Genomic DNA, 14,923 nt, shown 5'->3' on the forward strand with positions numbered 1-14,923 from the left:
TGTTACTACATTATCTCACACCTCATAAAGCTACCTTCAGACTACTAATTAAGTTGTAAAAATACATTGTTTACTTAAGTTTCTCACATTACATGTACCTGACAAAGACTTCGTTTACTCTTTAATTTCAATGCAGCCATATTCAGGTAAAACATTTATCACTATTTATTACCTCTCCGGGGTGTTTCTTCACCATTTGAAAGTCCTCTTGGAATAGTATCCTGATCTGCTCCCATTCTCTGATCTTGCTGCTGCTGCAACTGTCTTATCATTCCATCAAGAATACTCGATTCTGGGCTGCGTTCATCATTATCATTGGTTTGCAGGCTTATAATTTGTTCAATCACCTCTCCATCACCTACAAATTCAATTATTTAATATATAATCATATAAAAGCAGAAAACAAAAAAAAATTTCGTTAGGGTACAAATTAAAATACATTAACAATGGTCAGAATTTCCCATTTTTGAAAAATAACCAGTTTAAAAAGATACTCTACATATTCACCAAGAAGTCAGAGAAAAGATTCAAAGCCAACAAAAGTCTTCCTGTAGAGGACTAAATACCACAAAAACCTGAAAGCAGCCTCTGAAATTCCTGCAAGTGGAAGCATGGAAACATATTTCTGTAAAACTTTATTACGCTGTTTCACACTAATGCCCCTCACCATACTCGATATATTTCACTAAAATCTTATTCCCCAGAGTCTCTAACTGGAACAGAGCAACTATGGGTCATTTCCAATGTGGAGAAAAATCCCTGAGATTTAATTTCTTCTCTATGTCTTAAGAAAGGGGAAAAAAGGGAGGTAAGACCTTTTTTAAGCCTTCAACAAGACTTTAGCTCTCCCTCTGCCCCAAGAGTCCTCGGAGAACAGTGCAATTGATGGTGGTAATTACACAAGCCTCTCCGACTAATCTCAAATTACTCTCTTAGATATGTTTTTAACATAGCTACTACCCATAATTCTTACTTCAAGTACAGAGTTTTTCTGAGACGGAGTCTCACTTTTGTTGCCCAGGCTGGAGTGCAGTGGCGTGATCTTGGCTTACTGCAAGCTCTGCCTCCTGGGTTCAGGCCATTCTCCTGCCTCGGCCTCCCGACTAGCTGGGACTACAGGTGCCCACCACCATGCCCGGCTAATTTTTTGTATTTCTTTTTTTTCAGTAGAGACAGGGTTTCACCGTGTTAGCCAGGATGGTCTCAATCTCCTGACCTCATGATCCACCCACCTCGACCTCCCAAAGTGCTGGGATTACAGCCGGGGCGTGGTGGCTCACATCTGTAATCCCAGCACTTTTGGAGGCCAAGGCAGGTGGATCACTTGAGGTCAAGAGTTCAAGACCAGTCTCTACTGAAAATACAAAAAAAAATTAGCCGGGCCTGGTGGCGCACGCCTGTAGTCACAGCTACTCAGGAGGCTGAGTCTAGAGAATTGCCTGAACCCAGGAGGCGAAGGTTGCAGTGAGCCAAGATTATGCCACTGCACTCTAGCCTGGGTGACAAGAGTCAAACTGTGTCTCAAAAAAATAAATAAATAAAATTAAAAATAAAGGAGATTAATAAGGTGATAATCAAAAGGAATGCAAAGATATAACTTGCCACCATAAAGACAGATAGAGAAACTGTAAAACCTCATATAGTATTATGGGATGGGCAAGGGAGGACATTTCCATCCTGCTACCTGAGTAAGACTCCCTTGCATATCACTGATAATGTCTTTGTTTTGCTATGGAAACCAAAGAAGAACTTAAAAGAGCTAAATGTTATATCTCATATTAACTTTGTCTTTAAAAATTTTATCAGTCTCAAAAAATGAGTTGAAAAGGCAGTACATAGAGGCTTAATCTAAAAAGATAAGAAGATTTTAATTAGAATTGCTTATAACACAAAATTCCTAAGATTACAACATGATACCAAAGGGAAAACGGCAAAGAAGATTTCTAATCGGCATAAGCCAAAATAACCTAAGGCTATATAACTTTTCTTTTTTTTCTTTTTGGTAGACACAAAGTCTTGCTATATTGCCCAGGCTGGTCTTGAACTCCTGAGCTCAAGCAATCCGCCTGCCTGCCTCAGCCTCCCAAAGTGCTAAGATTACAAGCGTGAGCCACTGCACTCAGCCTAACTTTTCTTTCATAGCACAGAACACTTAACTGTTAATTTCTCAAATATCAGAATGTTAACTGTCTCTATGGAATAATACAATCGATACTGAAATATTGAAGGAGGGTTCTACCCATGAAAACTTAACTGCCGCAGGAAGTGTCCTTCTGCCATAAACAACTACAATACTGGAAAAAATATATGTAAAACAAAAGCTTTCAGACACTGGACAACAGGCAGCACAAAACTGTGATCCCTGAGAGAAGGGGAACAATGGAGACAAACCCTCTGATTGCTCCAGATTACTGTCTGGAGGTAGTCTCCAGGTTACAGAACAAAAGAGAGAACCCAAACAGCATCCACAGATCTAACTGAGTTGAGGAGACAGAGGTGAGAGTTTGCTGGAAGAAGAATGTTAAAATACGCAGGACTGAATATCAGAGGAGAGTGAACTGCACACAAAGCTCCAAAGATCTGTAATGAGGTCTCATCAATTATTTGACTAAATACTGATACGTGGCCGGGCATGGTGGCTCACGCCTGTCTGTAATCCCTGCACTTTGGGAGGCTGAGGTGGGCGGATCACCTGAGGTCAGGAGTTCGAGACCAGACTGGCCAGCATGGTGAAACTTCATCTGTACTAAAAATACAAAAATTAGCCTGGTGTGGTGGTGCACACCTGTACTCCCAGCTACGTGGGAAGCTGAGGCAGGGAAACTGCTTGAACCCCAGAGGCAAAGGTTGCAATAAGCCGAGATCACACCAATGAACTCCAGCCTGGGCAACAGAGCAAGACTCTGTCTCAAAAAAAATTTTTTTAATTAAATACTGTTATGTGTGCACATGGGGTAGAACTCCACTACTGAGGGGAAAATATAAAAAAGCAGTTGCACAAAAATTTGCAGAGCTCTCACAGGACAGAAAATAGTTCAAGTTCGCAGGAGCCAGAATACACAGCAGAAGTGCTTTACGTACACTTCCAGTTTTAATACCTAGAATAGTAAAAAGACATGTATTCATGTGCAGAGCAGTAAAGAATATAATAACTCCTACTATTTTGGTGCCACAACCAAGATTTGTGCTACAGTGCCAGAAGTTTATTTCTACCCACCCATGATCCATCAGTACAAATGTCAACACTGTAAAAAAATAAATATCTCAGTATTGTTATGAAGATGGCTGTGACCTTGCAGACTCCATGAAAGGTTGCAGATACACCTATGGGTCTGCAAACCACACATTGACAATTTCTGCCCTAAAGCAACCATTACATACAAATAAACAGGTATTGCTAGTAAGACATTAGTGGAGGTCATATGGAACACAAAAAAAAATCATCAATCCCAAAGAAGAAAAAAAAAAGAAAAAGGAAAAAGGCACAAAGAATGAAAAGAATATAGAGGAAACAAATAGGAATACTCTTATGTTCAAACCCATACCATATGAACATTTAAGTGTAAATACTCTACACTTAATAGAGTACTTAATACTTAAATCCCAATTAAAAGTTATCAGATTAGATATATAAAGACACAGATCAGCTGGAAGAACTGACAAAGATATACCATGACAATCCTAATCCAAAACAAGTTGAATTGGCTATATTAATATGAAATAAGACTCTTCAAAACAAAAAATATTTTCAGAGATACAGAGAAACATTTCATGAGAAAAGAATTATTTCATCCAGAAGACAAGCAATTCAAAATGTGTATGCACCTAATGAATGAACTTTAAAATACATAAAGTAAAAACTGAGTAAACTGAAGAGAGAAATGACAAATTCCACGTGACAGTTGGATATTTCAATCTGGATGATAGCCCCAAACTGGAAACAAGCCTTTAACCATTAGTGAATGCAAAAACAAATGATAATATACCCATCTATTCCATGGGGTATTATCAGCCCCAGTGAATAAACAGGAACAAACTACTGATACATGCAACAACACTAATGAATCTCAAAAGCACCACACTAAGTCAAAGAAGCCAGACACAAAAGATTACACTTTGTGGCCAAGCGCGGAGCCTCATGCCTGTAATCCCACCACTTTGGGAGGCCGAGGCAGGCGGATCATGAGGTCAAGAGATCGAGACCATCCTGGCCAACATGGTGAAACCCCATCTCTCCTAAAAATACAAAAATTAGCTGGGTGTGGTGGCACACACCTGTAGTCCCAGCTACTCAGGAGGCTGAGGCAGGAAAACCACTTGAACCCGGGTGGCGGAGGTTGCAGTGAGCCAAGATCATGCCACTGCACTCCAGTCTGCCGACGGAGCAAGACTCCGTCTCAAAAAGATTACACTTTGTATATAAAACCCTCTTAAAGGACAAAATTAAAGTGACAGAAAATGTAACACTGATTACAAGGGACTGGGAGAAAGGAGAGGACTGACTCCAAACAGGTCCTGGGGACTTTTGGGGGCAGTATAAATGGTTTGTATCTTGATTGTGGTGGTAGTTACTTATTATTTAACATCTGTCAAAACATACTTGACAGCCTGGGCAACATGGCAAAACCCCATCTCTACTAAAAATACAAAAATTAGCCAGGTGTGTTAGCACACGCCTACAGTCCCAGCTACTCAGGAGGCTGAGGTAGGAGGATCACTTGACCCTCCTGCAGTCAGCCAAGATCGCACCACTGCACTCCAGCCTGGGGAAACGAGTAAGACCCTGTCTCAAAAAATAAACACACATACACTTGAATTGTACACTTAAAATTGGTGAATTTTGTATATAAAGTACACTTCAATAAAAGTAATAAAAAATAACATTTGAAATAGCAACCATATAGTAATCTACATTAGGTTTTTACTTTATATATAGCTGGTGATTTAGTTTCAGTAAATCCTCATCCAAACAAACAAAATAGCATTTTTTCTTTAACATCTGTAGAGAAACACTGCCCTGCTATTAACACAAAAAAGAACTTTGCACTTGGCTACGACAGAGAAAAGTACAAGACAAACCTGGAACATCCTACATCCAGAAAAGGAAAAAAGTGACTGAAAAAGTGTAAGGACTTGGGGAAGGACAGCTTCAAAAGGCTCTGAGAGTCAAACCTAAGGATTATGTGAGTAATACAACCCATTAGCCACACCCAGAAGCCCATACTAAAACTTAATAAGCCTCATCAATAAATAAAGGGGTGAGCAATAGACAGTCATATGCAATGATACATATGACGCAATGAGGGAGCAATGATACATATGATGCAATGACAGAACAATGATGAAGTTAGAAAATAACCACTTTGGAGTATTCACAGTAACAACCGATTCAGGCAAAACTCATCAATGGGTCCTAAAACTTGAGGGTAAACTTTGACAATGAACAGGTTATTGACATATCTCCCCACAAATTACTATTAATTACAAAGAGAAAAATACTAAGTTTATAGTGTTCAAAAACAACATTACCAGTAATTAGACAAACCACAATCATAAGCATCCTGACAGTATGCTCTATTAAGACTAGAACATCATTTATGTTGTATTCTGTCAAAAATGCATAACCGGAACCTAATCAAGAAGTAGACAAACCCAGATTGAGGCCTTCTACAAAATTCCTGACCTGTAATCTTCAAATACATCAACATCATGAAAGTCAAAAACTGACAACCTGCTCCAGATTACAGGAAATTAAGGAACTATGACAACTAACTTTCGTATTTCGTATGTGGTCCCAAATAAAAATTGGGAGAATTTTAGAAGCTATAAACGAACATTACTAGAATAACTGGAAATTTTTGGTTACACACTATAGATTTGATAATAGTATTATCTGAGTGTAAAACGTCCTAATTGTCATAAGTGTCTATAGTTATGTAAGAGAATGTCGTTCTTATTTAGAGGTAAATGGTACATGAGGTCCAGAAGTTAAATGGTTCAAAACAATACACAGAAAAAAAATAATAAAACAAATATTGCAAAATATTAATAATTGGGGATCTAAAGGTAAGGAAATTATTTATATTATACTTTAAAATATTCAAGTACAACTTTAAAAAAAAAAAAAAAAAAAGACTGCACTTACTTGTTGCCACATAGCCCAGCTGTGGAATCAAATGTTCATCTGCAGAATTTTCTCGGCCTGGTACTAATCTCTGATACTTGGTTGGATGAGGATTTCCATCTACATCTACCAAGAATGGTGGAGGCATAAGATGAGGAGCCTGCTGAGTTTGCTCATCTAAGACATAATTATTAGAATCTCTAATAAGTGGTCGATAGTCAGTATGGAAGAACATCTGATCAGGAATCTAGAAAAATGAAGTTCACAGGATGACATTTTAAGGTTCACACATTTTAAAGGAAACAAATATTAAACAGTTAATTAAAACTAGAAAAACAAGGAAATCAAATCACTCAGCTAAACTGTTTCCAAAACATAGCTCATAACTACTTATTTCCAAAACACAGCTGATAACTATTACTTGCATGCTACAACAAAGTATTAAAAATGACCTTTTCATATGGTTTGCTGCATCCAAAACCAAATATCAGAAGGTGCCCATGAGAATCTGTACAGGCAAAATGCTGTCCATCCTGTGAAAACTTACAGTCAAACACAGCTCCATGTCCTTGTCCTTCAATCTAGGAAACACAAAAGGAAAAAAGTTAGGACCAATTCTATGCAAGTGATTTGCTATGTAAACTTTTTTAATGTGGATAACCTGTGACAATATATCCCTTCTGAAAAAAAAAAAAAAAGTTTCAGCCAGGCATGGTGGCTCATACCTGTAATCCTAGCACTTTATGAGGTGGAAGCAGGTGGACTGCCTGAGCACAGGAGTTCAAGACCACCCTGGGCAACATGGTGAAACCCTGTCTCTACTAAAAATACAAAAAATTAGCCGGGCGTGGCAGTGTGCGTCTGTAGTCCCAGCTACTCAGGAAGCTGAGACACGAGAATCGTTTGAACCGGGGAGGCAGGGGTTGCAGTGAGCCAAGACTGCACCACTGTACTCCACTGCACTCAAGCCTGGGTGACAGAGTGAGACTCTGTAAAATAAAAATAAAAACAAATGTTTCATTAAGCATATACATCAATCACTATTCCAAAAAAATAAAATTGATTTTGGATACAACTAGCCTAGAAAAAAGTCTTCAAAGTTCTTCTAAGCATTAGTTCTCCAAGTGCTCCAATGAAGGCTAACAACCCAATCCAAAGTGAAGGCTTCTTTTACTTCTTATAAACAATTTCATAAATTTTTGTCTTAGTATATAATAAAAGGATAATAAGCTACAAGATAAATGATTAAAGATTAACCAAATTTGGTATTCATGAACTAAAACGAACACTTTTCTAGATTTTAAGGTGGGCTCTACTTCAGCTCATTACTAAGATGACTAAGCACCATGCAAAATTTGGCAATGCTGCCGGGTCTCAAGCATATATATGAAAAAGTCTGCAGCCACAACTACCCTAACAGAGATTTCAGAAAGGATGCTCTAAGTCTATCATGAGTGTAACCTTAAATAGATTACTTTTATACTGTTTTATTCTTCCTTTTAAACTGTAAACTATATTAGTTTAATATCATCAATTTATAGTTAAGTTAGTTATTTGGTTAACTCTACAGTGTAGAGCTATGCATATTTGTTGTCTGCACCTTTAACTTTCCAGTAACTAAATGTTACGCGTTCGGTGTTGGAGAAATGAGACATCTACTCAGTAACTGCCAGAACAAACTCACGTCCACGCCCAAGTAAGTCACTGCTTGAATAGTGATACTTCACTATTGTTGCACATGAAAAGGATGACAATTAGCAAACGTGGAAAAAATAAAGTTACTCGGATATTCAGAGGATTGCTGAATAAGATGTGCATATTAATTCATATTCTCTTAACATAAAAAGGAAAAAAATTGTGTGTGTATATATATTATATATTTTTTTTCCTCCAACTGATCATTAAAACATAAGAACATGGTTTCACCCACATGGTCCTTCTAGGAGCCACCTGTGCCACAGCACAACCTGCATATATGTACCATTTTGCATCCCTGGCCTGGGACCTTCAGTCATGGTTAAAGCAGATGCCAGTGGGGAGGGAGTGGCAAAATCTCAAAGCTGGAAAGCTGAAGATGGTGGCAGCAACTCTGCCCATCATACATGTGGACTTAACAGCACCAAAAGCTTTTCTATAAATACTTGCTGAGATGAAAGTTTTCTCAAGTGGGCAGACCTATCTAAGCAGAGCAAGGAGGACTTGGGGTTTCACTTGTAACTGGAAGCGTCCTATACAATGATTCCTGACAAAACGCAACCTGCAACTGTGTCTGGAGAAAAATGTCACATTAAAGTTTATTACGTATTCATGAAATATTGTTGCTATTAATAACTGACAACCCTATTTAGTCTATCTAGAATTAGGAATTATGAGCCTCTTAGCTGAGCAGTAAGGAAATGTCAGTAAACAAGGCCAATTTTGGCTATGCAACTGGAAATAAGATCATTGTTGCCCACGTGAAATGTTTTTTCAGATTATTCTTTGGCATAGAGTTTTTCCGCTTATATTCTGCTTAAAGCCTAAATTAATGTAGTTTTTTGTTTTGAGGAGTTAAATTCAGGATGTAATATTATTACTGAGTATGAAAGGATAGTTAAGGTAATGGATGTATCCCACGGATTTTAAAACGACAGAAAAATTGTCCAAGAATGTTTAGTTCTTTTTCCAATAATTTGAATACACAGAAACGCAGCTTTCAGAGATGCCTAATTGTCTATTTGTACTTTGATCATACTATTTAAAATGTTTTAGAATGCATTTAATCAAAGGTCTAAGAACCTGAGAATCAAAGGTCTAAGAACCTGAGAATCAAAGGTCTAAGAATGCATCAGCATCAATAGGATGCTACTACACTGCCTCTAAAATACATCACACAGGCCAGGTACAGTGGCTCAAGCCTGTAATCCCAGCACTTTGGGAGGCCGAGGCGGGCGGATCACAAGGTCAGGAGATCGAGACCATCCTGGCTAACATGGTGAAACCCCATCTCTACTAAAAACACAAAAATAAAATTAGCCGGGCGTGGTGGCAGGCGCGTGTAATCCCAGCTACTTGAGAGGCTGAGGCGGGAGAATGGCGTGAACCCGGGAGGCGGAGCTTGCAGTGAGCCGAGACCACACCACTGCACTCCAGCCTGGGCGACAGAGAGAGACTCTGTCTCAAACAAAACAATAAAAAATTGCACTTTGAATTGTAACAGTATAAACTGAAGAGTAAATTCACAAAATGTCTCAAACATATAAAGCCTTAACAGTGCTAAAACCCTTTTACACAATAATTCCTTCAGAATTTATCTTAGGGAAATAATCATGTACAAGGCTATTCAAAGTGTTATTGTCATACGTATTTTAGAAACCACTTAAGTACTCAACAATAGAAATTAATTGTGTAAAAGTTAACTTTCTTCTCAGACAGGCTGAATTTATACTCAAAAATACATCTGTAAATTCTTTAAAAATAAAAATTTCAAAAAAAAAGGTTTTACATGAAATAAGATTACAAAACTATGTGCAAGCACATTTACCCACGTAACCAACCTGCACATCCTGCACACAGCAGGTAGCCCCTGAACTTAGAAGTTGGAGGAGGAAAAAAAAATACCACTGTGTGCAAAGACACCAACTAATAAATATGGAAGGAATAATGCCATTGGAAAATCTTCAATGGATCCAATACTTGTGGGTAAAAATTTAATGAGAAACAGGATATTCAGATTAGTCTCAAAAGCGCTACTAAAAAAATTAGTTTAATAATTATATTGGGAGGCCGAGGCGGGTGATCACTTGAAGTCAGGAGTTCAAGACCAGCCTGGCCAAGATGGTGAAACCCCATCTCTACTAAAAATACAAAAAATTAGCTGGATGTGATGGCAGGTGCCTGTAAATCCCAGCTATTCGGGAGGCTGAGGCAGCAGAATCACTTGAACCCAGGAGGCGGAGGTCGCAGCGACCCCAGATTGTGCCATTGAACTCCAGCCTGGGCAACAAGAGAGAAACTCCATCTCCAAAAAAAAAAAAAAAAAATTATCACCATAGTAAGGGGACAAATAAATATCATGTGCCTCCTAATATGATTCATGAAGGACACAATATCACTTATGTTTTATTTCATTTAAAAAACTATAACAATCTAATCATGAAAAAATATCAGACAAAACTGAGGACACTCTGTAACAATACTTGCTAATATTCAACAAAAGTTAAAGGCCAAGAAAGAGGAAAAAGAAAAAAGGCTGAGAGGGGCTGGTGACAATTAAAGAAAAATAGAGGCCAGGCACAGTGGCTCACGCCTGTAATCCCAACACTTTGGGAGGCCAAGGCAGATGGATCATGAGGTCAAGAGATGGAGACCATCCTGGCTAACACGGTGAAACCCCGTCTCTACTAAAAAATACAAAAAAATTAGCCAGGTTTGGTGGCGGGTGCCTGTAGTTCCAATTACTTGGGAGGCTGAGGCAGGAGAATAGCGTGAACCCGGGAGGCGGAGCTTGCAGTGAGTTGAGATTGCGCCACTGCACTCCAGCCTGGGCGACAGAGCGAGACTCTGTCTCAAAAAGAAAAGAAAAAGAAAAGAAAAAAAAGAAACCTAGAAAGATACAACCACTTAAACACAACGCATGAGCCTGAACTGGATTCTGGTCTACGGAGCAAAATATATCTAAAAAGATGTTACTATAGACCTGACTAGACAATGCTATCTTATAAATGTTAAATTTGCTGATTAGTAACTATAATTATGATTATGTGGAGAAATTCTAAAAAGATACAGTAGGATCCTCATTTGGTTCTAGAATATACATATGCAAAAAAAAAAATTTTTTTTTTTTAAGAATACACCTGTACATAAAGAAAAAAGGCCGGGAAAACCTAATGATGTTTGATCTCTATTTCAACCATCTTGGGATTTTTTTTTTTAAGAGAGTGTCTCACTACATTGCCCAGGCTGGACTTGAATTCCTGGGCTCAAGCAATCCTCCTGTCTCAGCCTCCCAAAGTGTTAGGAGTTCAGAGCCACCACACCCAGCCCAAGGTTACTGAAATTGGAGTAATCAAATATTGTAATATTTGGTTAATATTGAATATTAATAATGTCATTTTATTTTATTACTATTTTTATATTTCTATTTATCAAATATTTCAATTTGTTATAGAATATTTCAATAAATTCAAGTAGTGAAAAAGTTTTTACAATTGCCATACTTTTACCAGTTTAAACACACAGGCACATAAAATGCTCAACAGGTAACTTAAAAATGTCTCCCTCATATAAATCAGTCATACAGAGAATTTCATGTATGTACGTATATACATGTAGCTGTCTAATATTTAGCAGGCTTTGAATATGCTGATTTGTAAAAACAAACTGCCAAAACAAGCAGATCAATTTCTGGCTAAGCCGCATAACCCAAATACTCTAAACAAATTATCAAGCATGTATCAAGGTACATCTCACTTCACTTACCATATTAAAATAATGTTTCATCTTGGTACCTTTTGTAATATCCCATATAAATATGCTGCCATCATGTCCTGCAGATAACATAATTCTGGAATCAAAGGGATGTGTCTCCAGAACAAATACTTCATCAGCATGTCCCTTTATTTAACAAAGTCATAACATTAAGGAGGGTTTACAAGTTACAAATTGAAAATTTAAAAATACATACTGTTACAGCATATACTTTTAGAAATGTATTCGACAATAATTTATAATTATAAAAATTTCTAATCATTTCATAGTTTACATGAGAGAAACAACTTGTTCAATATATTATTTTTATAGCTTCAAAATTACAATCATATTTCAAAAAATCTCATTTGTTACACTGTACCAGAAATTACCTACCATTAAGTTATGAAGCAGTTGTCCAGTGTAAGAATTCCACACTTTGAGGACATGATCATTCACAGCTGTGACAACAATGCTATCATTTTGATTCCAAGCTATCATTGTTACTTTAGGTTTCATAAACCTTTCCTCTTCGGAAGATAAGTCCCTAACAAAAAAATACACAACATGTAAACTTATTTAGATGGCTGGCTATACAATGTATACAATCTCTCATCAATACAAAAATAAAGAAATCCAACCCATGTGCCTATCTTATCAACCCTACAGTGAGTTCATCACAGCTGACCCAGAACAGACTGTCTAGAAACAGGTGAGGGCAAAACCTGAAGAAGGGAGGGATAATTTAGAAACAGTACAGAGACTGAATAAGGGCAGATTTTAGGACACCATTACTGCTTATGAAAGCAATGCTTTTTCTCCCTACTTCTTTCCTATTATTTCCTTCTTCTGAATACAAACCTATTGCTAACACTTACTTTCAACTGTTTCTCTCCATAGAAGACAAAAAAATTTTAGGAACACAAAAATAAGGTAATTCATATTCATATCCCCAATGTTTAGAAAAATAACTGACACACAGATGTTCAATCTGAACTGTAAATGGGACTATTCTCATCTCTTCATACAACTTTCCTACAGTCTACTCCTACAGGCCCCTTGGCAAGAACGGTCTTGGATACACATGCCTAGAATGTTTTTCATCCTTTATAAAAGTGTTATGGAGGGCCAGACACGGTGGCTCACGCCTGTAATCCCAGCATCTTGGGAGACCGAGGCAGGCAGATCACGAGGTCAGCGGTTTGAGACTAGCCTGGCCAACATGGTGAAACCCCGTCTCTACTAAAAATACAACATTAGCCAGGTGTGGTGGCACACACCTGTATTCCCAGCTACTCAGAAGGCTGAGGCAGGAGAATCATTGGAACCTGGGAGACAGAGTCTGCAGTGAACCAAGACCGCACCATTGCACTCCAGCCTGGGTGACAGAGCAAGACTACGTTCTCAAAAAATAAAAAAGTGATATGCAAAGGGTCTCTGCATTACAGTAGTCAACAGTGGGGTAGGGAAGGCCTAATGGTTCTGAAATAATAGAATACGTTTTAAGAAATTACAAGCATCGGCCGGGCACGGTGGCTCATGCCTGTAATCCCAGCATTTTGAGAGGCCGAGGCAGGCGGATAACGAGGTCAGGAGATTGAGACCATCCTGGCTAACACGGTGAAACCTCGTCTCTACTAAAAATACAAAAAAAAGCAAAATTAGCCAGGCGTGGTGGTGGGCACCTGTAGTCCCTACTACTCGGGAGGCTGAGGTGGGAGGATAGCATGAACCCAGGAGGCGGAACTTACAGTGAGCCAAGATCGCACCACTGCACTCCAGCCTGGGCAACAGAGCAAGACTCCGTCTCAAAAAAAAAAAAAAAAAAAAAAAGATATTACAAGCATCTAACATGTTTTAATTAACAAAGGCTGGGCATGGTAGCTCACACCTATAATCCCAGCACTTTTGAGAGGCCAAGGTGGGCGGATCACTTGAGGTCAGGAGTTCCAGACCAACCTGGCCAACAGGATGAAATCATGCCTCTATAAAAAATACAAAAATTAGCTGGGCGTAGTGACAGGCTCCTGTAATCCCAGCTACTTGGGAGGCTGAGGAAGGAGAATCACTTGAACCCAGGAGGCGAAGGTTGCAATGAGCTGAGACCGTGCCACTCCATTTCAAAAAAAAAAAAAAAAAGAATATAGAATGAGTGTTATAAAACAGCTATCTATGTAATTACAAAAAAAAAACACACAGAAGAGAGAATAATTCTAACTAGATTGATTGGTGTTGAGGGTAGAATAATATTAAGAAGTAAAATGGAGGCCGGGCGCGGTGGCTCACGCCTGTAATCCCAGATCTTTGGGAGGGCGACGCGGGTGGATCACGAGGTCAGGAGATCAAGACCATCCTGGTTGCACATGTATACATATGTAACTAACCTGCACATTGTGCACATGTACCCTAAAACTTAAATAAATAAAAAAAAAAAAAAAGACCATCCTGGCTAACATGGTGAAACCCCGTCTCTACTAAAAATACAAAAAAAATTAGCCGGGCATGTGGCGGGCGCCTGTAGTCTCAGCTACTCGTGAGGCTGAGGCAGGAGAACGGCATGAACCCAGGAGGCAGGGCTTGCAGTGAGCAGAGATCGCACCACTGCACTCCAGCCTGGGCGACAGAGCAAGACTCTGTCTCCAAAAAAAAAAGTAAAATGGAATAAAGGCAAAGACTCCATTCTTCACTTTAAACTAAAAGGCTTTTGAAGTAATAACATTGCTTTTTTTTTTTTTTTTTGAGGTGGAGTCTAGCTCTGTCGCCCAGGCTGGGGTGTAGTGGCTCCATCTAGGCTCACTGAAACCTCTATCTCCTGGGTTCAACTGATTCTCCTGCTTTAGCCTCCCGAGTAGCTGGGATTACAGGCGCATGCCACCATATCCGGCTAATTTTTCTATTTTTTTTTAGTAGAGGCAGGGTTTCACCATGTTGGCCAGGCTAGTCTCGATATCCTGACCTCAGGTGATCCACCTGCCTTGGCCTCCCAAAGTGCTGGGAATACAGGCATGAGCCACTATGCCCAGCCACAAATTAATAACTTTGAATTTACTAACAGATATGTTCCATTTCATCAAGTTGATTCGCCAATATTAGAACACTAAAATAAACAGATCAATCAATTCTTACATACAGAAGACTCTGTTTTTCAAGATTTGAAAGCAAGAAAACTTAAAATGAGAAGATATTTTCTCATGAAGAAAATTATAGGAAAAGTCCCCTTCATGGATCGAGTGCGTCAGCAAGAAAACTAAACAGTTTTCAGTCTCATTTAAAAATTTTCATTCAAGTTTTGACAGTTTCTATTTTCCTTAATAAAACAATAATAGGTGAAACTGACTTTAAATTATCTTC

General features: G+C 38.6%; 1 protein-coding gene across 7 annotated transcripts in view; it reads right to left on the reverse strand.

The window, feature by feature from the left end:
• BRWD1 (bromodomain and WD repeat domain containing 1) overlaps positions 1-14,923 on the reverse strand; it is a 137,037-nt gene that overhangs the window by 74,139 nt on the left and 47,975 nt on the right. For all 7 annotated transcript variants that reach the window (XM_017028373.2, XM_011529611.2, NM_018963.5 and 4 more), the window contains 5 exons: positions 11,969-12,119; positions 11,585-11,719; positions 6,577-6,705; positions 6,146-6,371; positions 173-358 (listed from right to left, as the gene is read on the reverse strand). In XM_017028373.2, the coding sequence (XP_016883862.1) occupies positions 173-358; positions 6,146-6,371; positions 6,577-6,705; positions 11,585-11,719; positions 11,969-12,119 (827 nt within the window). The remainder of the gene's footprint in view (positions 1-172; positions 359-6,145; positions 6,372-6,576; positions 6,706-11,584; positions 11,720-11,968; positions 12,120-14,923) is intronic.

Source organism: Homo sapiens, chromosome 21 (genome assembly GCF_000001405.40).
Source record: "Homo sapiens chromosome 21, GRCh38.p14 Primary Assembly".
Taxonomy (NCBI): Eukaryota; Metazoa; Chordata; class Mammalia; order Primates; family Hominidae; genus Homo; species Homo sapiens.